This window comes from Homo sapiens, chromosome 16 (assembly GCF_000001405.40).
Source record: "Homo sapiens chromosome 16, GRCh38.p14 Primary Assembly".
NCBI lineage: Eukaryota > Metazoa > Chordata > Mammalia > Primates > Hominidae > Homo > Homo sapiens.
Genome location: NC_000016.10, coordinates 35,734,509 through 35,756,662, shown reverse-complemented (window position 1 = coordinate 35,756,662; position 22,154 = coordinate 35,734,509). Strand labels below are relative to the sequence as shown.

Sequence of the window (22,154 nt, the reverse complement as noted above, 5' to 3'; positions counted from 1 at the left end):
AATCTGTCAAAATGCTCTTCAAATGTGGTTTCATCTCACAGAGTTAAACTTTTCTTTTTATTCAGAAGGTTGGAAACACTCTTTTTGAACAAACTACAAGGGGACATTCTGAAGCCCATTGAAACACATAGTTAAAAAGGGAATATCTCATAATGAAACCTAGAAAGAAGATATCCTTGAAAATACTTTGTGATATGTTGATTCATCTCGCAGAGTTAAAACTTTGTTTTGATTCAGCAGGTTGGAAACACTCTTCTTGTGAATCTACGAAGGGCGATTTTTGAGCTCATTGAAGCCTATAGTGGAAAACCAAATATTCTGCAGTAAACTCCAGAAACAAGCTATCTGTTAAAATTCTCTGCAATGTGTGGATTCATCTCATAGAGGTAAACCTTTGTTCTGATTAAGCAGGTTGGAAACTGTCTTCTTGTAGAATCTACAAAGGGACATTTCTGAGCTCATTGAGGCCTATATTAAGAAACTGATTATCTAGTGATGAAAACTAGAAGCAAGCTACCTCTAACAATGTTTTGTGACATTTGGATTTCTCTCACAGAGTTAAAACATTGCTTTGATTCAGCAGGTTGTAAACAATCTTTTTGTAATATCTAAGGGAACTTTCAGAGCCCATTGAGGCCCATAGTAAGAAAACCAAACATTCCACGATAGAAACTAGAAACAAGGTATCTGTGAAACCGCTTTGTGATGTGTGGATTTATCTCAGAATTAAACCTTTGTTTTGATTCAGCAGGTTGGAAACACTCTTTTTGTAGCATCTACGAATGGATGTTTTGGAGCTAATTGAAACCTATAGTGAAAAACTGAATATTCCATGATAAAACCTAGAAACAAACTATCTGTGAAAACACTTTCCAATGTGTGGATTCATATCACAGAGTTAAACCTTTGTTTTCATTCAGCATGTTAGAAACACTGTTTTTGTAAAATCTATGAATGGACATTTTGGAGCTAATTGGGGCTATAGTGAAAAAATGAATATCCCGTGATAAAAACTAGAAAAAAGCTATATGTGAAAATGCTTTGCAATGTTTGGATGCATCTCATGGAGTTAAACCTTTGTTCTGATTAAGCAGATTGGAAGCAGTCTTTTTGTAGAATTTTTGAAGGGACATTTTGGATCCCATTGGAACATAGTTTCCATTCATCTCACAGAAGTAACTATTGTTTTCTGGGCTTGAGCACTTTCAGGCTACTATGGCTTCATGGGCTGCCAGGGAGTACCCCTATAGGTAGGTTTTCTTCCACAGCAGGGGTGCAGGTGAGCTGGAAATGGGAAAAAAGGGAAAGCCAGAGAGTCAGGGGGCAGTTAGGAAGAGGGCGACAAGCAGGAAAAAGTGAAAAGGAATGGAAGCCAAAAACCTGAAACCCCAGATCTTCCCAGGTGGTATCCCATCCAAGCCCCAGCCAGGCTTAACCCTGTTTATCTTTTGTACTTGGACGCCCAGAGGCTGCTATGGTGCCAGGGACTGCCATGGGGGACCCACACTGGGGGGCACTGGGCCATGGCAGTGGCACAGGTAGGCAGGAAAGAGGAAGCCAGAGAGTCAGGGGATGGTTTGGAAGTGGGCCAACATGTGAGGAAAAGCAGGAAGGGAGTAGGAATCCAAACACCTTCAGCCATTGGTCTCCTAAGGTTGTGCCCCATCCAAGAACCAGACAGGTCCCATCCTGCTTAGCTTCCGGTATGGGGTGCCCTCAGTCTGCTATGGCACTGATGGCTGCTGGAACAGACCCCTAGGTGGAATCCCCAGGTCTCAACGGGGATGCAGGTAGGCGGGAAATGGGGAGCCAGAGAGTCAGGTGGCAGTTGGGAAGCTGCCGAGGTGGACACCCACGGGGAGGCACCGGGCCACGGTGGGGGTGCAGGTAAGCAAGAAAGGGGCAGCCAGAGAGGGGGCTGTTGAGAAGGGGGCTGAGAAGTGGGGGAAAGCAGGAAGGCAGCAGGAAGCCAAAAGCCTCCAGCTCCCAGTCTTCCCAGGTGGTCCCCCATCCAAGCCCCAGCCAGACCCAACCTTGCTTAGCTTTCAGTCTGGGATATCCTCAGGCTCCATTGGCACCAGTGCCTGCCAAGGGGGACCACCACTGGGAGGTCCTGGGCCATGTTGGAGGCCCAGACGGGTGGGAAAAAAAGGATCCAGAGAGTCACGGGGCAGTTGGGAAGTGGGCTGACAAGCGGGGGGAAAGCAGGAAGGGAACAGGAAGCCAAAAGCCTCCAGCCTTCATACTTTCCATTCAGTAACCCATTCAAACCCCAGCCAGGCCTGACCCTGCTTTGCTTCTGGGCTGGGGCGCCTTCAGGCTGCTTTGGCACCAGGGGCTGTTGCAGCAGACCCCCACAGAAAGGCCCTGGGCCCCAGCAGGGGCACAGGCAAGTGGAAAAGGGAGAGCCAGAAAGTCAGGGGGTGGTTGGGGAGTGGAGCCACGAGAGAAGGAAAGAGGGAAGGGAGTGGGAAGCCAAAAGCTTCCAGCCGCCTGTCTCCCCAGGTGGTTCCCCCGCCCAAGCTCCAGGCAGGCCCAACCCTGCTTAGCTTCCAAGGTGGGCACCCTCAGGCTGCTATGGTGTCAGAGGCTTCCAGGGTGGACTCCCACAGGAAGGCCCCGGGCCGCAATGGGAGGCATAGGCAGTCGAGAAAGGAGCCAGAGAGTCCGGAGGTGGTTGGGAAGGGGGGGAAGACAAGTGGGGGAAAGTGGGAAGGGGTTGGGAAGCCAAAAGCCTCCAGCCCTCGGTCTCCCCAGGTAGTCCCCATTCCAAGCCCCAGCCAGGCCAGACCCTGTTTAGCTTCCAGGCTGGGGTGCCCTCAGGCTGCTATGGCACTGGGGGCTGCCAGGGTGGACCTGCATGTGGTGGCCTCGGGTCCCCTTGGTGGTACAGGTTGGTGGCAAAGAGGAAGCCAGAGAGTCAGGGGGTGGTTGGGAAGTGGGATGACAAGTGGGAAAGAGCAAGAAGGGAGCAAGAAACCAAAAGCTTCAAGCCCCCAGTCTCTCCAGGTGGTTCCCCATCCAAGCCACAGCCAGGCCTGACCCTGCTTAGCTTCCACGCTGGGGCGCCCTCAGGCTGCTATGGTGCCAGGGGCTGCCAGGACAAAACCTAACAAGGAGGTCCCAGGCAGTGGCGGTGGCACAGGCTAACGGGAAGGGGGGAGCCAGAGAATCAGGCGGCAGTTGAGAAACTGGCTGACAAGTGGGAGAAAGCGGGAAGGGAGCAGAAAGCCAAAAGCCTTCAGCCCCTGGTCTCTCCAAGCAGTTCACCTTCCAAGCCCCAGCCAGACCCGACCCGGGTAGCTTTCGGGGTAGGATGCCTTCAGGTTACTATGGTGCCGGGGGCTGTTGGGGTGGATCCCCAAGGGGAGGCCCAGGGCCACCGCGGAGGCACAGGTGAGTAGGAAAGGGGGAGCCAGAGTGTCAGAAGACAGTTGGGAAGTGGGTCGACAAGTGAGGAAAAGCAGGAAGGGAGCAGGAAGCCAAAAGCCCCAAGGCCCCGGTCTCCCCTGACAATCCCTTATACTAGCCCCGGCCAGTCTTGACCCTGCTTAGCTTCAAGGCTGGGGCGCCCTCAGGCTGCTATGGCACCAGGGGCTGCTGGGGCAAAACCCCACAGGGAGGCCCCGGATGTGACAAGGGTGCAGGTGGGCGGAAAAGGGGGAGCCATGGAATTCAGGAGGCAATTAGGAAGTGAGGGATTGCAGGAAAGGAGCAGGAAGCCAAAAGCTTCCAGTCCCTGGTCTCTCCAGGTGGTCCCCAATCCAAGCGATAGCCAGGACTGACCTTGCTTAGCTTCCGGGATGGGGTGCCCTCAGGCGACTATGGCACTTTGGCCTGCCGGGGTAGATCTGCACAAGGAGGCACCGGGCCACGGTGGGGGATCAGGCGGGGCAAAAGGGAGAGCCAGAGACTCAGGGAGCAGTTGGGAAGTGGGGCAACAAGTGGGGGAAAGCGGGAAGGGAGCAAAAAGCCAAAAGCCTCCAGCCCCTTGTCTCTACAGGCGCTCCCCCATCCAAGCCCCAGCCAGGCCAGACCCTGCTTAGCTTCTGGGCTGGGGTGACCTCCTGCTGCTACGGCGCTAGGGGCTGCCAGGGCAGACCCCCAGCGGGAGGCCACAGGCCACCTCAGGGATGAAGGTGGGTGGGAAAAGGGGAGCCAGAGAGGAGGCAGTTGGGAAGCAGGGCAACAATCAGGTAAAAGCGGGAAGAGAGTGGGAAGCCAAAAGCCTCCAGACCCCAGTCTCCTCAGGTAGTCCCCCAGTGAAGCCCCTGGCAAGCCCAACCCTGCTTAGCTTCCAGGATGGGGCTTCCTCAGACTGCTATGGATCTCGGGGGCTGCTGGGGCAGACCCGAACAGAGAGGCCCCGGGTCGCAGCGGGGATGCAAGCGGACTGGAATGGGAGAGCCAGAGTCAGTGGGCAGTTGGAAAGCAGGACGACCAGCAGGGAAAGCCGTAAGGGATTGGGAAGCAAAAAGCCTCCAGCCCCCAGTCTCCCCAGGCAGCTCGTCATCCAAGCCCCAGCGAGGCAGGACCCTGCTTAGCTTCTGGGCTGGGCACCCTCAGGCTGCTATGGCACCAGGGCTGCCAGGGCAATCCCCCATAGGGAGGCCCCAGGTCGCAGTGGGTGTGCAGGCGGGTGGGAAAGGGGGAGCCAGAGAGTCAGGAAGCAGTTGAGAAGCTGGGTGACAAGTGGAGGAAAGCAGGAAGGGAGTGAGAAGCCTGAAGCCTCTAGCCACCAGTTTCCCCAGGCAGTCCCCCATCCAAGCAACAGTCAGGCCTGACCTTGCTTAGCTTCCGGGCTGCGGTGCCCTCAGGCTGCTATTGCGCCGAGGGATGTTGGGGCGGACCCCCACCTGGAGGCCCAGGATCGTGGCGGAGGAGAAGGTCCGGGCAGAAATGAGGGAGCCAGAGTCAGGGAGCGGTTGGGAATTGCGCCAACGAGCGAGAGAAAGCCTGAAGAAAGCGGGAAGCCAAAAGCCTCCAGAGCCCGGTCTCCCCAGGCGGTCCCACATCCAAGCCCCAGACAGGCCCAACCCTGCTTAGCTTCCAAGCTCAAGTGCCCTTAGGCTGCTATTGCACCGAGGGCTGCCAGGGCACACCCCCACAAGGAGGCACTGGGCTAGGGCGGGGGTGCAGGCGGGCAGTTAAGGGGAAGCCAGAGTCAGGGGGCTGTTGGGAATCAGGCCAACAAGCAAGAGAAAGCAGGAAGAAAGCGGGAAGCCAAAAACCTCCAGAGCCCTATCTCCTCAGGCGGTCCCACATCCAAGCCCCTGCCAGGCTCGACTCTGGTTAGAGTTCCTCTAAGCCCCGGGCTGGGCCACTCTAAAGCTGCTATGGCGCAGGGGTCTGCTCTGGCAGACCCCAAAGGAGAGGTCCCGGGCCCTGGTGGGGGCCCAGGAGGGTGGGAAATGTGGAGTCAGAGAGTTAGGGGGCAGTTGGGAAGCAGGCTGACAAGTGGGGGAAAGTGGGAAGGGAGTGAGAAGCCAAAAGCCTCCAGCCACCGGTCCCCCCAGGCTGTCCTTCATCCAAGCCCCAGCCAGGCTCAACCCGGCTTAGCTTCCTGGCTGGGGTGCCGTCAGGCTGTCATGGCACAAAAGGCTGGGGGGGCGGACCCCCACGGAGAGGGCCCGGGCCTTTGCAAGGGTGCAGGCAGGCTGGAAATGGGAAGCCAGAGTCACAGGGTGGTTGGGAAGCAGGGAGACAAGAGGGGGAAGCGGGAAGGGAGCAGGAAGCCAAAAGCCTCCAGGCCCTGGTGTCCACAGGTGATCCTCCATCCAAGCCTAAGCCAGTCCCGACCCTGCTTAGCTTCCGGGATGGGGCGCCCTCCGGCTGCTACGGTGCCTGTGGGCCAGGACGGACAGCCCGGGGAGATCCCAGTTCATTTTGGGGGTGCAGGTGGTGGGAAAGTGGGGGCCAGGGGGTCAGGAGGGGAAGGTTGGGAAACCTTGCGACAAGAGGGGAAAGTGGGAAGGGAGCAGAGAGCCAAAAGCCTCTAACCTCCAGTCTCCTTAGGCGGTCTTTCATACAAGCTTCAGCCAGGCCTTAACCTGCTTAACTTCCGGGCTGGAGCACCCTCAGGCTGCTATGGTTCCCGGGGGCTGCTGGGGCTGATTCCCACAGGGAGTTCTCAAGCCACATCGGGGGTACAGGAGGGTGGGAAAGGGTCAGCCACAGTCAGGGGGTGGTTGGTTATTGTTGCTACAAGCCTGGCAAAATGGGAAGGGAGCAGGAAGCAAACAGCTTCCAGCCCCCAGTCTTCCCAGATGGTCTCACATCCAAGGCCCAGCCAGGCCAGACCCTGCACAGATTCCAGTCTGGGGTGACCTCAGGCTGCTATGAATTTTGGGGGCTGCTGGGACAGACTAGCATGGGGCAGTCCTGGGCTGTGGCGGAAGCGCAGGTGGGCTGGAAAGTGGAGGTCAGAGAGTCAGGGGGCGGTTGGGAAATGATTCAACAAGCGGGGGAAAGCAGGAAACGAATGGGAAGCCAAAAGCATCCAGCCCTGGTATCCCCAGGCAGTCCCTCATCCAAGCTGCAGCCAGGCCCAACCCTGCTTAGCTTCCGGGCTGGGGTGCCCTCAGGTTGCTATGGCGCTCGGGGGTTGCCAGGGCAGGCCCCCACAGGGAGGTCCTGGTCCGTGGCGGGGGCACAGGCGGGTGGGAAAGGGTGAAGGGGCAGAGAATCAAGGGGCGGTTGGGAAGCGTTGCGACAAGCCGGTGAAAGCGGAAAGGGAGCGGGGAGCCAAAAGCCTCCAGCCCCCGGTCTCCCCAGACGGACCCCATTCAAGCCCCAGCTAGACCCGACCCTGCTTAGCTTCTGGGCTGGGGCGCTCTCAGGCTGCTATGGCACACAAAGGCTCCCTGAGCAGACCCACACGGGGAGGTCCCGGGTCACAGCGAGGGCAGAGTCGGTCGGGAAATTGGGGGCCAAATACTCAGGATGCGGTTGGCATGCATTGTGATCAGCGGGGAAAAGCGGGAAGGGAGCAGGAAGCCAAAAGCCTTCAGCCTGGGTCTCCTCAGGCGGTCCTCCATCCAGGCCCCAGCCAGGCTCGACCCTGCCTAGCTTCCGGGCTGTGGCGTTCTCAGGCTGCTATGGCGCCAAAGGGCTGCGGGGACGGATGCCCACACAGGGAGGTACCAGATGGTGGCAGGGGCACAGGCGGGTGGGAAAGGAGGGCCAGAGAGTCAGTGGGTGGTTGGGAAGCATTGTGACATGTGAGTGAAAACAGGAACGGAGCAGCAAGCCAGAAGCCTCCAGGACCCAGTCTCCCCATGCGTCCCCCCACCCAAGCTTCAGCCAGGCCCCTCCCTGCTTAGCTTCCGGGCTCAGGCGTGCTCGGGCAGCTATGGCGCCCCCGGGCTGCCAGGACAGACCCTGACGGGAAGGTCCCGGGCCGCGGTGGGGGCACAGGCGGGCAGGAAATGGGGGACCAGAGACTCAAGGGGCGGTTGGGAAGCACTGAGACAAGCAGGGGAAAGCAGGAAGGGGAGGAAAGCCAAAAGCCTCCAGCCCCTGGTCACCCCCGGCGGTCCCCACATCCAAGCCCCAGACAGGCCCTACCCTGCTTAGCTTCCTGCCTGGGGCGCCCTCAGGCTGTTATGGTGCCCGTGTGCTGCTGGGATGGATCGCCACGGGGAGGTTTCGGGCCGCGGCGGCGAAGCAGGCAGGCGGGGAATGGGCAGTCAGAGAGTCAGCAGCGATTAGGAAGTGTTGTGACAAGTGGGGGAAAGCAGAAAGAGTGGGAAGACAAAAGCCTCCAGCCCCTGGTCTCCCAAGGCAGGCTCCCATCCAAGCCCCAGCCAGGCCCGACCCTGCTTACCTTCTGGGATGGGGCGCTGTCAGACTGCTGTGGCGCCCGGGCTGCTGGGACGGAAACCCACTGGGAGGTCCTGGGCCCTGGAAAGGGCAAAGGTGGGCGGGAATTTGGGGGCCAGGTGTCAGAAGGCTATTGGGAATCATTGAGACAAGTGCGGGGAATCGGGAAGGCAGCGGGAAGCCAAAAGCCTCCAGCCCTTGGTCTCCCCAGGTGGTCCCCCATCCAAGCACCACCAAGGTCCGATCCTGCTTACCTTCCGGGCTGGGGCACCCTCATGTTGCTATGATGCCCGGGAATGCCGAGACTGACTTCCACGGGGGGAGGGGTGTAGCGGGCCACCGGGGGGGGGGGCACAGGTGGGTGGGAAACAGGGTACTAGAGAGTCAAGAGGCAGTTGGGAAGCATTGTGACTAGTAGGGGAAAGTGGGAATGGAGAGGCAATCCAAAAGCCTCCAGCCCAGTCTCTCCAGGCGGTCCCCCATCTAAACCCCAGGAGGCCTGACCCTGCTTAGCTTCCAAGCTGGAGCACCCTCAGGCTGCTATGGTGCCCACGGGCTGCCAGGACGGACCCCCGCGCGGAGGTGGGAGGTCCTGGGACTCACAGGGGAGCAGGCTGGTGGAAAAGAGAAGGCCAGAGAGTAAAAGGAGGGTTGGGAAGCATTGTGACAAGTGACAGAATGCAGGAAGGGAGTGGGAAGCCAAAAGCCTTCAGCCCCCATTCCCCCAAGGTTGTAGTCCCCCATCCAAGCCCCGCCAGGCCCAACCCTTCTTAGCTTCCGGGCTGGGGCCCCCTTGGGCTGCTAGGGCGCCAGGGGGCTGCCGGGAGAGACTCCCAAGGGGAGGTCCCGGGCCATGGTGGGGGCACAGGCGGGCAGGAAAAGGGGGTACCAGAGAGTCAGGGGGTGGTTGGGAAGTGTTGGGACAAGCGGAAGAAAGCGGGAAGGGACTGGGAAGCCAAAAGCCTCTAGCCCCTGGTCTCCCCATGCAGTCCCCCATCCAATCTTCAGCCAGGCCTGACCTTGCTTACCTTTCAGGCTGGGATGCCCTCAGGCTGCTATGGCGCCTGGGGGCTGCCGAGACAGACTTCCATGGGGAGGCCCTGGGTCATAGTAGGGGTGCAGGTGGGTGTGAAATGGGGAGCCAGAGAGTCAGGGGGCAGTTAGGAAGCATTAGAACAAGCGGGGGTAAGCGGGTAGTCAAAAGCCTCCAGCCCCGGTTGTCCCCAGGCAGTCAACCATTCAAGCCCCAGCCAGGTTTGACCCTGCTTAGCTTCCGGGCTGGGGCGTCCTCAGTCAGCTATGCTACCCAAGAGCTGCCAGGTCAGACCCCTGTGGGTAGGTCCCAGGCCGCAGTGAAGGAGCAGGCGGGTGGAAAATGGGGGCAAGATTGAAAATTTTGCAATAAGAGAGGGAAAGCGGGAAAAGAGCAGGAAGCCAAAAGCCTCCAGCCCCTGGTCTCCCCAGGCGGTCCGCCATCCAAGCCCCAGCCAGACCTGACCCTGATATCTACCAGGCTGGGGGCCCTCAGGTTTCTGTGGCCCCCTGGTGCTACCAGGAGGAACAACCAAGGGGAGGTCCTGGGCAGTGGTGGGAATGAAGGCGGGCAGCAAAGAAAGGGTGAGAGAGTCAAGGGGCGGTTGGGAAGCATTATGACAAGCAGGGGAAAGCGGGAAGAAAGCTAGAAGGGAGCGTGAAGCCAAAAGCCTCCAGCCCCCGGTCTGCTCAGGCAGTCCCCCACCCATGCCCCAGCCAGTCCCGACCCTGCTTAGCTTCCTGGCTGAGGTGCCCTCAGGTTGCTATGGCAGGAGCTGCTGTGACGGACTCCATGGGGAAGTCCTGGGCCTTGGCAAGGGCACAGGCGGGCGGAAAAGGTGGGGCCAGAGAAACAGGGGCGGTTGGGAAGCATTGCAAAAAGCGGGAAAAAGTGGGAAGGGACTGGGAGTCAAAAGCCTCCAGCACTTGGTCTCCCCAGGTGGTCCCCCATCCAAGTCCCAGCCAAGACCGACCCTGCTTACCTTCCCGGCTGGGGCACCCTGAGTTTGCTATGGTGCCCAGGGGCTGGCCAAATGGAGCCCCAAAAGGAGGTCCTGGGCTGGAGCAAGAATGCAGTCATGTGGGAAGCGGGTGGCGGGGGGGTCACAGAATCGGGAAATGTTGTAACAAGCAGGGAAAAGTGGGAAGGGAGCGGGAAGCCAAAAGCCTCCAGCCCCGATCTCCCCAAGTGGTCCCTCATCCAAGTCCCAGCCAGGATCAACCCTGCTTAGCTTCCGGGCTGGAGCACCCTCAGGCTGCTATGGCGCCCGGGGGCTGCCAGGACCAACCCCCACTGGGAGGTCCCAGGCCGTGGTGTTGGTGCAGGTGGGCAGGAAAGGGAGGGGCCAGAGAGTCAGGGTGCAGTTAGGAAGAGTTGCGACAAGCGGGGGAAAGTGGGAAGGGAGCGGGGGAAAGTGGGAAGGGAGCAGGGAAGTCAAAAGCCTCCAGCCCCAGGTCTCCCTAGGCGTTCCCCTATCCAAGCCCCAGCCAGGCCCAACCCTGCTTAGCTTCTGGGCTGGGTAGCTTCTAGGCTGGGGCACCTTCAGGCTTCTATGGTGCCCTGGGGCTGCCCAAAACAAACCCCCATGGGGAGGTCCCAGGCCATGGTGGGGGTGCAGGTGGGCAGAAACGGGGGGTGGGCAGAGAGTCAGAGGGCGGTTGGGAAGCCTTGCGATAAGCGGGAGAAAGCGGGAAGGGAGCAGTAAGCCAAAAGCCTCTGGCCCCCAGTCTCCCCAGGTGGTGCCCCATCCAAGCACTAGGCAGACCTGATCCTGCTTAGCTTCCAGGCCAGGGTGCCCTCAGGCTGCCATGGCACCCAGGGGCTGACAGAATGGACCCCCACAGGGAGGTACTGGGCCTTGGCGGTGGCGCATATGGGTGGAAAAAGAGGTGCCAGAGAGTCGGGGGCAGTTGGGAACCTTTGTGACAAGCAGGGAAAAGCGGGAAGGGAGAGGGACACCAAAAACCTCCACCTACCAGTATCCCCAGGCGGTGCCCCATCCAAGCCCCAGGCAGGCCAAACCCTGTTTAGCTTCTGGGCTTTGTCAGGTCTCTGAGCCAAAGCTCAGCCATTGTAACCCCTGTGACCTACACATAAATGTCCAGATGGCCTGCAAGAGCCAAGAAGTCTGGGTCAACCAAAAAAACACAAAAGAAGTAAAATAACCAGTTCCTGCCTTAACTGATTAACCAACATTACACCATTACACCATTGTGACTTGTCCCTGCCCTACCTTAACTGATCAATCAACCTTGTAACATTCTTATTCTGGACAATAAGTCTTATGATCTCCCCATCATGTACCTTGTGACCCTGTCCTCTGCTAACAATAGATGACCACCTTTTACTGTAAATTTCCATTACTTACCCAACTCCTGTAAAGCACCCCTTCCTTATCTCCCTTTGCTGACTCTCTTTTTGGACTCAGTCCACTTGCCCCCAAGTGAATAAACAGCCTTGTTGCTCAACAAAGCCTGTTGGTGGTCTCTTCACATGGATGGGCTTGACGTTTGGAGCCATGAATCAGACCAGGGGACCTCCCTCGGAAGATCAATCCCCTGTCCTCCTGCTCTTTGCTCTGTGAGAAAATCCACCTACAACCTCGGGTCCTCTGACCAGCCAAGAAACACTTCACCAATTTTGAATCGGGTAAGCAGCCTTTTTTATTCTCTTCTCCAACCTCTCTCAGTATCCTTCAACCTCTTTCTCCTTTCAATTTCAGTGCCACCCTTCAATCTCTCCCTTTCCTTAATTTCAGTTCCTTTCCCTTTCTGGCAGAGACAGAGGAAACACATTTTATCTGTAGACTGAAAAGTCTGGCACTGATCACGTACTCAGGAAGACAGTTTTCCTTTGGTGTCTAGTCACTGCAGGACATTTGCCTGATTCACCCACATTCCAGAGGTGTTCGATCACTGCGGGTATGCGTGCCTTGATCCTCCACCTTGGTGGCAAGTACCACCTCCCCTGGGTGGCAAGTACCCCCTCTTTTCTCTCAACTTAACTTTTCACTATGGGCAACCTTCTGCCCTCCATTCCTCCTTCTTCCCCCTTAGCCTTTGTTCTTAAAAACTTAAAATCTCTTCAACTCTCACATGACCTAAAACCTAAGCATCTACTTTTTTTCTGCAACACTGCTTGGCCCCAATACAAAATTGATAATGGCTCTAAATGTGCAGAAAATTACCCTTTTGATTTCTCCATCCTACAAGATCTAGATAATTTTTGTCATAAAATAGGCAAATGGTCTGAAGTGCCCTACATCCAGGCATTTTTAACACTTCATTCCCTCCCTAATCTCTGTTCCCAATGTGACTCATCCCAAATCTTCTTTCTTTCCCTTCTGCCTGTCCCTTCAGCCCCAACCCCAAGCACTGCTGAGTCTTTTGAATATTCCCCTTTTACCGACCCATCTGACCTCTCCCCTCCTCCCCAGACTGCTCCTCTTCAGGTCACTCACTGCCAGGCTGAATCAGGCTACAACTCTTCTTCAGTCTCTGCTCCCCGATCTAAAACCCTTCTATCACCTCCCCTCCCCACACCCGGTCCAGCTTACAATTTTGTTTGTTGTCAAATACTCCCCCACCCCTGCCCAACAATTTCCTCTTCAAGAAGTGGCTGGAGCTGAGGGCATCGTCAGAGTGCATGTACCATTTTCTCTATCAGAAGTTTCCCAAATAAATCAATGCTTAGGTGCCTTCTCATCAGACCCCACCAAATATATACAGGCATTCCAATATTTCACCCAGTCCTACAATGTAACCTGGAGTGATTTAAATGTCATCCTAACTTCTACCCTCTCCCCAGATGAATGGGAAAGTTTTTTTTTTTCTCTAACCCAATCTCATTCAGACACCCACCAGCATCATGAGCCCAGCCTCCAGGAAGGCATTAAAGTGGTTCCCCGAGAAGATCCCCAATGTCACTATCAGGCAGGTCCCCCAGGTATAGCTAGGCAGATTACATGATTTCCTGCCTAGTTGAAGGGCTTAAAAAGGCAGCATACAAATCTGTTAATTGTGACAAACTTAAAGAAACTACCCAAGGTAAAGACGAAGACAAAGCCCAGTTCATGGCCCATTTGGCAGTTATCATTAGATGCTTTACAGCCCTAGACCCTGAAAGCCCAGAAGGCTGTCTTATTCTCAGTATGCATTTTATCACCCAGTCAGCTCCTGACTTTAGAAAAAAGCTTCAAAAATTGGAATCTGGCCCTCAAACCTCACAACAGGAATTAATCAACCTCACCTTCAAGGTGTACAATAAGAGAGAAGAGGCAGCCAAGCGTCAATGCATTTCTGAGTTACAATTACTTGCCTCTGCTGTGAGACTAAACCCAGCCACACCTCCAGCACACAAGAACTTCAAAGCACCTAAGCCAAAGAGGTCAGGCATTCTTACAGGACCTTCAATCTCAGGATCTTGCTTCAAGTGCCAGAAATCTAGCCACTGGGCCAAGGAATGCCCACAGCCTGCGATCCCTCAGCTGTGTCCCATCTGTGCAGGGACCCACTGGAAATCAGACTGCACAGCTCGCCCAGTATCCACTCCCAGAGCCCCTAAAGTTCTGGCCCAAGGCTCTCTGACTCCTTCTTATATCTGCTCAGCTCAGTGGCTAAAGACTGACATTGCCCGATTGCCTGGGAAGCTCCCTGGACCATCATGGACGCCAAGCTTCAGGTAACTCACAGTGGAGGGTAAGTCCATCTCCTTTTTAATTGACACGGGGGCTACACACTCCACGTTACATTCTTTTCAAGGGCCTGTTTCCCTTGACCCCATTACTATTGTGGGTGTTGATGGCCAGGCTTCTAAACCTCTTAAAACTCCCCAAATTTGGTGCCAACTTAGACAACATTCTTTTATGCACTCCTTTTTAGTTATCCCCACCTGCCATGTTCCCTTATTGGGTTGAGACATTTTAACAAAATTATTCGCTAACCTATTACTGGACTACAGCCACATCTCATTGCCACCCTTCCTCCCAACCCAAAGCCTCCTTCACATCTTCTTCTTGCATCTCCCCACCTTAACCCAAAAATATAGGACACCTCTACTCCCTCCCTGGCACTGATCACATGCCCATTACTATCCCATTAAAACCTAATCACCCTTATCCCACTCAATGCCAGTATGGCATCCCACAATAGGCTTTAGTCCAAAACTGGACAAGTCTTACAGGTTAGTTCAGGATCTATGCCTTATCAAACAAATTGTTTTGCTCATCCACCCTGTTTTGCCCAACTCATACACTCTTTTGTCCTCAATACCTTCTTCCACCACTTAATATTCCATTCTTGATCTTAAAGATTTTTTTTCACTATTCCCCTGCACCCCTTGTCCCAGCCTCTTTGCTTTTACCTGGACTGACCCTGACACCCATCAGTCCCAGCAGCTTACCTTGGACTGCTGCAAGGCTTCATGGACAGCCCTCATTACTTCAGCCAAGCTCTTTCTCATGATTTACTTTCTTTCCACCCCTTTGCTTCTCACCTTATTCAATGTATTGATGGCCTTCCACTTTGTAGCCCCTCCTTTGAATCTTCTCAACAGGACACCCTCCTGCTCCTTCAACATTTATTCTCCAAGGGATATTGGGTAACCCCCTCCAAAGCTCAAATTTCTTCCCTATCCATTACCTACCTCAGCATAATAATTCTTGAAAACACAGGTGATCTCCCTGTCAATTGTGTCTGGCTGATCTCTCAAACCCCAACCCCTTCTACAAAGCAAAACCTTCTTTCCTTCCTGGGCAGAGTTTGATACTTTCACCTGTGGATACTGGTTTTGCCATCTTAACAAAACTGTTATATAAACTCATAAAGGGAAATCTAGCTGACCTCATCGATCCTAAATCCTTTCCCAACTCCTCTTTCCATTCCCTGAAAACAGCTCTAGAAACGACTCCCACACTAGCTCTCCCTGACTCATCCCAACACTTTTCATTACACACAGCCGAAGTGCAGGGCTGTGTGGTCAGCATTTTTACACAAGGATCGGGACCATGCCCTGTAATCTTTTTGTCCAAACAACTTGACCTTACTGTTTTAGGCTGGCCCTCATGTGTGGGTGCAGTGGCTGCCACTGCTCTAGTACTTTTAGAAGCCCTCAAAATCATAAACTGTGCTCAACTCACTGTCTACAGTTTTCATAGCTTTCAAAATCTATTTTCTTCCTCAAACCTGATGCGTATACTTTCTGCACCCCCCTCCAGTTCCTTCAGCTGTACTCACTCTTTTGAGTCTCCCACAATTACCATTGTTCCTGGCCCAAACTTCAATCCAGCCTCCCACATTATTCCTGAGACCACACCTGACCCCCATGACTGTATCTCTCTGATAGACCTGGCATTCACTCCCATTCCCCATATTTCCTTCTTTCCTGTTCCACACCCTGATTACACTTAGTTTATCAATGGCAGTTCCACCAGGCCTAATTGCCACTCACCAGCAAAAGCAGGCTATTCTATAGTATCTTCCACATTTATCAATGAGGCTACCACTCTGCCCCCCTCCACTATCTCTCAACAAGCCAAACTCATTGCCCTAACTTGGGCCCCCACTCTTGCAAAAGGACTTCACATCAATATTTATACTGACTCTAAATATGCCTTCCATAGCATGCACCACCATGCTGTTATATGGGCTGAAAGAGGTTTCCTCACTACACAAGGGTCCTCCATCATTAATGCCTCTTTAATAAAAACTCTTTTCAAGGCTGCTTTACTTCCAAAAGAAGCTGGAGTCATTCACTGCAAAGGCCATCAAAGAGCCTCAGACCCCATTGCTCAAGTCAACAATTATGCTGTTAAGTCAGCTAAAGAAGCAGCCAGTATTCCTACTTCTGTCCCTTATGGCCAGTTTTTCTCCTCATCAGTCACTCCTACTTACTCTCCCACTGAATTTCCACCTATCAGTCCCTCCCCACTCATAGCAAATGATTCTTACACCAAGGAAAATATCTACTTCCAGCCTCACAGGCCCATTCTATTCTGTCATCCTTTCATAACCTCTTCCATGTAGGTTACAAGCCACTAGCCTGCCTCTTAGAACATCTCATGTCCTTTCCATCATGGAAATCTATCCTCAAGGAAATCACTTCTCATTGTTCCATCTGCTATTCTACTACTCCTTAGGGATTTCTCAGGCACCCTCCCTTCCCTACACATCAAGCTCGAGGATTTGCTCCTTCCCAGGACTGGCAAATTGAATTTACCCACATGCCCTGACTCAGAAAACTAAAATGCCTGTTGGTCTGAATAGACACTTTCATTGGATGGGTAGAGGCCTTTCCCTCAGGGTCTGAGAATGCCACCATGGTCATCTCCTCCCTTCTGTCAGATATAATTCATTGATTTGGCCTTCCTACCTGTATACAGTCTGACAAGGTACCGACCTTCATTAGTCAAGTCACTCAGGCAGTCTCCCAGGCCCTGGACATTCAATGGAAACTTCATGCTCTCTATTGCCTTCAATCCTCAGGAAAGGTAGAAAGAACTAATGGTCTTTTAAAAACACACCTCACCAAACTCAGCGTCCAACTTAAAAACGACTGGACCGTACTTTTACCTCTTGCTCTTCTCAGAATTCGGGCCTGTCCTCAGGACACTACAGGGTAGAGCCCATTTGAGGTCCTGTATGGAGCTCCTTTTTATTAGGCCCCATTCTCATTCCAGACACCAGCCCTCTAGGTGATTATCTTCCAGTCCTCCAGCAAGCTAGACAGGAAATTCGCCAAGCTGCTAATCTTCCTTTGCCTACTCCATATTCCCAGCCATATGAAGACACTCTAGCTGGACAGTCAGTTCTTTTTAAGAATCTGACCACTCAGACTCTACAACCTCAGTGGACTGGACCCCACTTAGTCATCTATAGCACCCCAATGGCTGTTCATCTGCAAACCTCCCCCGCATTGTGTTCTTCATTCCAGATTAAAGCTATGCCTCTCAGACAGCCAGCCTGATTTATCCTCTTCCTCCTGGAAGTCACAAGCCCTCTCCCTCACTTCCCTTAAACTCACCCACATTCCTGAAGAACAGTAATAATCCTTATGTAAGGTCTATCCTTTCTTACCCCATTCCTCCAAACTATCATAGCTAATATCTTCTGGTGCTGCCCAGAAACTGCCACTATTAATTCCCTCTTTAAGTGGAAAAATGACCTTTGCTGGTAAGACACAGTCCAATTCTTCCACCCTAATGAATTTCTTTTCTTTACATTTATACTCACTCTTTGCCTTACTCTCATTCTCCTGCCACCCTCCACCTCTCCCCAGTTATCTACAACATACCATCAATCTCATTCACTCCCTCCTTGCCATCTCTAATCCCTCCTTAGCAAATAACTGCTGGCTATGCATTTCCCTTTCTTCTTATTCTTACACAGTTGTCCCCGCCCTACTTCCCGATTGGGCAACATCTGTCTCCCTACATCTTTGAACCTCTTTCAATGGGCCTCATCTCTATTCTCCTGAAGAACTTCTTTATTTTCTGGACAGATCCAGCAAAACCTCTTCAGACACTTCATATCAGCAGGCTGACGCCCTTCTCCATGCCGACTTAAAAAATCTTTCCCCTTACATTAATTCCACTCCCTCCATATTTGGACCCCTTATGACTCAAACCACTATCCCTGCTGCCGCTCCTTTGTGCATCTCCCAGCAACCACCTACCAGAATTCCCATAGGTAACCTTTCACTTTCGCTATGCTCCTTTACTCTTCATCTCCAAAGCCCAAAGACACACATTACTGAAACTACGAGGGCTTCTCAGCTATGCATTATGGACCAGCCCTCTATCCATACTGACAAACTTAAAAACATTAACAGTTACTATTTCTTAGGTAGACAGTTCCCCTGCCTTTCCCTTCATCCTTGGCTACCTTCTCCTTGCTTTCCAGACTCTCCTCCCAGCCCCGCAACTTGTTTACTTACACCCAACCCCATAAATAGTACTGAAAGATTACCTGTAGACACTGTACATTTTCTCTTACACCATGAAAATCTAATTTCCCTTTCTACCCAGTTACCACATAGGTCCCCATTACAACCTTTAATGGATGCTGCTCTCACTGGATTACTAGGAGTCTAGGTACAAGACACCTCACCTGGTACTCCCTCCCATCTTTTTACTCTACATTTTCAGTTTTTCCCTACACAAGGCCTCTTCTTCCTCTGTGGCTCCCCCACTTACATGTGTGTACGTTCTCATTGGACAGATACATGTACACTAGTTTTTCTTACTCCCAAAATTCAACTTGCAAATGGGACTGAACAACTTCCTGTCCCCCTCATGACACCGAACAACTTCCTGTCCCCCTCATGACACCAAACAGACAAAAAGAATTATTCCTCTAATCCCTCTACTTGTAAGGTTAGGACTTTCTGCTTCCACTATTGCCCTCGGAACTGGAATAGTAGTCATTTCAACTTCCGTCACAACCTTCTGTAGCCTTTCTAATGACTTTTCTGCTAGCATTACAGATATATCACAAACTTTATCAGTCCTTCAGGCCCAGGTCAATTCCTTAGCCACAGTTGTCCTCCAAAATCACCAAGGCCTTGACCTACTCACTGCTGAAAAAGGAGGACTCTGCATATTTTTAAATGAAGAATGTTGTTTTTATCTAAATCAGTCCAGCCTGGTGTATGACAACATAAAAAAGCTTAAAGATTAGGCCCCAAATCTTGCCAGCCAGGCAAATAATTATGCTGGACCCACCTAGGCACTTTCTAACTAGGTGTCTTGGTTCTTCCCTATTCTTAGTCCCCTGGTACCTGTTTTTCTCCTTCTCTTATTCAGGCCTTGTGTCTTTCATTTAGTCTCTCAATTCATACAAAACCGCATCCAGGCCATCACCAATTATTCCATATGGCAGTTGCTGCTTTTAAAAACCCCACAGTAATATCCTGTACCCCAAAATCTTCCCACAGCCTAAACTTCAATTCCTTGTCGTATTATACTCCTTCTCACCTTTAGGACTAAACCAGTGATGGACTCTTGGCAGCGTACTGACAAGACCAAGCTTCCATGCAACACCCCCTACAAATAATGGCTGTCCAAACATATTTCCAGGCCTGCTTCACCCGTTCTTCTAAACCTAATCTCTTAGGACCTGCTGTCTATAAAAACAACTTTCTTCAGGCCTTGCTCTCCAAAATTTTCCCCACCCCCAAAATCAAGGATCTCTGGATTAAAAATCTAAAACCCCTGAGGTGGCAGCTGTCAAATCTTTGCCCATGGTGTCCTCAGGCCTACTCACATAAAAATGACAAGCAATATGCAAATACAGGACCGGTTCCATATATCTGGCACTCAGATCAACATCCACGACAACACATGGTCTATCGTTGGTTGTCAGAAGGCATCGGACATTTCTGTCTTTGCCAGCCCCAACTTATTCTAGGAGACAAGGACTATTGTACTTATTATCTTTCCTGTATAAGGTCTGCAATCAGAAGTATTGAACTCCTCTATTCAAAACGCCACTAACACCTTTAGGAAAAAAGTAATATAATAGACTTTTGGCTTGATGCCAGGAGGTCCTATTTGTATGAAGGAAAATGAGGACAAAAGACCTTGGTATATAAAACATTATTCCTACCTTGGCCTAAAACTCACTGTCACCTACCTTAAAGCTATTATGCTTAATTGCTATTTTTAGATAATTTACTGTATTAAGACAACTCCAAGCTCAAAAATATGCTAACTGGTGACTTGTTAGCCACACAGAATTGTACCCAAAAACTTTCTAGACCAACTCACTATAAAATTAAATTTTCTTTAGGTGTTCACATCGCCCCTAAGTCATGCCTGAGGCAGTCCTGAGAAACATCGCCCCTACCCCAATAATCCCCAGAAAAAAACTTATATTTTATCTTTTCTTACAACTATATATTTTATAAATAAAAAGACAGGAATGTCAGGTCTCTGAGCCGAGACTCAGCCATCATAACCCCTGCGACCTACACATAAATGTCCAGACAGCCTGTAGGAGCCAAGAAGTCTGGGGCAGCCAAAAAATCACAAAAGAAGTAAAACAGCCTGTTCCTGCCTTAACTGATTAACCAACATTCCACCATTCCACCATTATGACTTGTCCCTGCCCTACCTTAACTGATCAATCAACCTTGTAACATTCTTCTTCTGGACAATAAGTCTTATGATCCCCCCACCATGTACCTTGTGGCCCCTCCTCTGCTAACAATAGATAACCACATTTTACTGTAATTTTCCACTGCCTACCCAACTCCTATAAAGCAACCCCTTCCCCATCTCCCTTCACTGATACTCTTTTCATACTCAGCCCACTTGCACCCAAGTGAATAAACAGCCTTGTTGCTTACACAAAGCCTATTGGTGGTCTCTTCACACAGATATGCTTGACAGGTGTTGGCACCCTCAGACTGCTATGGTGTCTTGGGGCTGCTGGGACGGACCCTCACAGGGAGGTCCTGGGCTGTGGCAGGGGCGCAGGTGGGCAGGGGTTAAAATAAGGGTGGCCAGAGAGTCAGGGGTCGATTGGGAAACGCTGCAACAAGCGGGAGAAAGCGGGAAAGGAGCAGGAAGCCAAGATTCCCCAGCCCCTGGTCTCTCCCAGGCGGTTTCCCATGCAAGCACCAGGCAAACCCAACCCTGTTTAGCTTCCAGGATGGCGCACCCTCAGGCTGCTTTGGCACCTGTCGGCTGCGGACCCCCACGGGGAGATCCCCGGCTGCAGCGGGGGTTCAGGCAGGCGGGGGCTGGCACAGTGGGGCCAGAGAGTCAAGGGGCCATTGGAAAGCATTGCAGCAAGCTGGGAAAATTGGAAGGGAGCAGGAAGCCGAAAGCCTCCAGCCCCCAGTCTCCCCAGGCCGTCCCCCATCCAAGCCCGGTACAGACCCGACCCTTTTGAGCTTCCGGGCTGGGGCGTCCTCGGGCTGCTATGGCACCAGGGGACTGCCAGGAGAAGCATCCATGGAAAGGTCCTGGGCCGCGGCAGGGGCGCAGGTTGGGGGAAAGGGGAGGCCAGAGAGTCCGGGGGTGGTTGGAAAGTGTTGCAGCATCAGGAGAAAGTGGGAAGGGAGTGAGAAGCCAAAAGCCTTCAGCCCCTGGTCTTCACAGGGGGTCCCCTATCCAAGACCCAGCCAGGCCCAGCCCTGCTTTTCTTACAGACTGGGGTGCCCTCAGGCTGCTATGGCCCCTGGGTGCTGCTGGGACGAACCCCAACAGGGAGATCCCAGGCCGCTTTGGAAGCGAAGGCGGGCGGGAAAGGGGGGCCAGAGATCCCGGGGACAGTTGAGAAGTGTTGCGACAAGCGGGGGAAAGCAGGAAGGAAGCAGGAAGCTAAAAGCCTGAAGCCCCCAGTCTCACCAGGTGGTCTCCCATCCAAGCCCCAACCAGGTCCAACCCTGCTTAGCTTCTGGGCTGGGGCGTCCTCAGGCTGCTATGGCACACTGGGGCAGCCAGGACCGACCGCCACGGAGAGGTCCCTAGCCGCGGCATGGGCGCAGGCAGGTGTGAAAGAGCGGGTCAGAGAGTTAGGGGGCAGTTTGGAAGCGAGGTGACAAGCAGAGGAAAGCAGGAAGGCAGCTAAAAGCCTCCAGGCCCCAGTCTCCCCAGGTAGTCTTCAATCCACTCCCCAGCCAGGCCTGACCCTGCTTAGCTTCCAGAATGTGGTGCCCTCAGGCTGCTATGGCACCCTGCTGGGGGCTGCCTGGCAGGCTTCCACGGGGAGGACAAGGTCCCGGCACAGGCACAGGCAGGCGGGAAAGAAGCAGCTAGAGAGTGAGGGGGCGGTTGGGAAGTGGGGGACAAGTGGGTAAAGCGAGAAGGGAGTGGGAAACTGAAGCCTCCAGCCCCCAGTCTCCCCAGGCTGTCCTCCCTCCAAGCCCCAGCCAGACCCGACCCTGCTTAGCTTCCGAACTGGGGTACCCTGAGGCTGTTATCACACCAGAGGCTGCCAGGGTGGGCCCCCACAGGAAGGCCCCAGGCGGAGGGGGGCCCAGGAGAGAGGGAAAGGGGGAGCCAGAGAGTCAGGGGGCAGCTGGAAAGCGACAAGCAGGAAGGGAGCAGGAAGCCAAAAGCCTCCAGCCCCCTGTCTTCCCATTTGGCCCCCCATCTAAGCCCTAGCCAGCCTGAGCCTGCTTAGCTTTCCAGCTAGGGTGCCCTCAGGCTGCTGTGGCACCAGGGGCTGGCGGGATGGGTCCCACAGGAAGGCCCCGGGCCGTGGTGTGTGTGCAAGCGGGCAGGAAAGGGGGAGTTAGAGTCAGGGGTGGTTGGGAAGCGGGGCCACAAGTTGGGGGAAGCGGGAAGGGAACCAGA

The 22,154-nt window shown here is 53.3% G+C and overlaps 1 long non-coding RNA gene and 17 pseudogenes across 1 annotated transcript; all 18 read right to left on the bottom strand.

Annotated features, from left to right (window-relative positions):
• Positions 1 to 38: 38 nt before the first annotated feature.
• LINC02167 (long intergenic non-protein coding RNA 2167) lies at positions 39 to 10,111 on the bottom strand. The gene is made up of 3 exons (NR_033985.1): positions 9,837 to 10,111; positions 7,826 to 7,902; positions 39 to 1,284 (listed from the first exon to the last, which is right to left on the bottom strand). It is a non-coding gene; the product is annotated as a long intergenic non-protein coding RNA 2167 (long non-coding RNA).
• RNA5SP423 (RNA, 5S ribosomal pseudogene 423) lies at positions 1,378 to 1,486 on the bottom strand (annotated as a pseudogene).
• RNA5SP422 (RNA, 5S ribosomal pseudogene 422) lies at positions 1,630 to 1,740 on the bottom strand (annotated as a pseudogene).
• RNA5SP421 (RNA, 5S ribosomal pseudogene 421) lies at positions 1,975 to 2,108 on the bottom strand (annotated as a pseudogene).
• On the bottom strand, positions 2,481 to 2,617 carry RNA5SP420 (RNA, 5S ribosomal pseudogene 420; annotated as a pseudogene).
• Positions 2,733 to 2,867, bottom strand: RNA5SP419 (RNA, 5S ribosomal pseudogene 419; annotated as a pseudogene).
• RNA5SP418 (RNA, 5S ribosomal pseudogene 418) lies at positions 3,721 to 3,837 on the bottom strand (annotated as a pseudogene).
• Positions 4,728 to 4,835, bottom strand: RNA5SP417 (RNA, 5S ribosomal pseudogene 417; annotated as a pseudogene).
• Positions 4,979 to 5,089, bottom strand: RNA5SP416 (RNA, 5S ribosomal pseudogene 416; annotated as a pseudogene).
• RNA5SP415 (RNA, 5S ribosomal pseudogene 415) lies at positions 6,488 to 6,602 on the bottom strand (annotated as a pseudogene).
• On the bottom strand, positions 8,008 to 8,143 carry RNA5SP414 (RNA, 5S ribosomal pseudogene 414; annotated as a pseudogene).
• Positions 9,523 to 9,631, bottom strand: RNA5SP413 (RNA, 5S ribosomal pseudogene 413; annotated as a pseudogene).
• On the bottom strand, positions 9,769 to 9,891 carry RNA5SP412 (RNA, 5S ribosomal pseudogene 412; annotated as a pseudogene).
• RNA5SP411 (RNA, 5S ribosomal pseudogene 411) lies at positions 10,027 to 10,140 on the bottom strand (annotated as a pseudogene).
• Positions 10,569 to 10,674, bottom strand: RNA5SP410 (RNA, 5S ribosomal pseudogene 410; annotated as a pseudogene).
• RNA5SP409 (RNA, 5S ribosomal pseudogene 409) lies at positions 20,930 to 21,038 on the bottom strand (annotated as a pseudogene).
• RNA5SP408 (RNA, 5S ribosomal pseudogene 408) lies at positions 21,192 to 21,291 on the bottom strand (annotated as a pseudogene).
• RNA5SP407 (RNA, 5S ribosomal pseudogene 407) lies at positions 21,915 to 22,024 on the bottom strand (annotated as a pseudogene).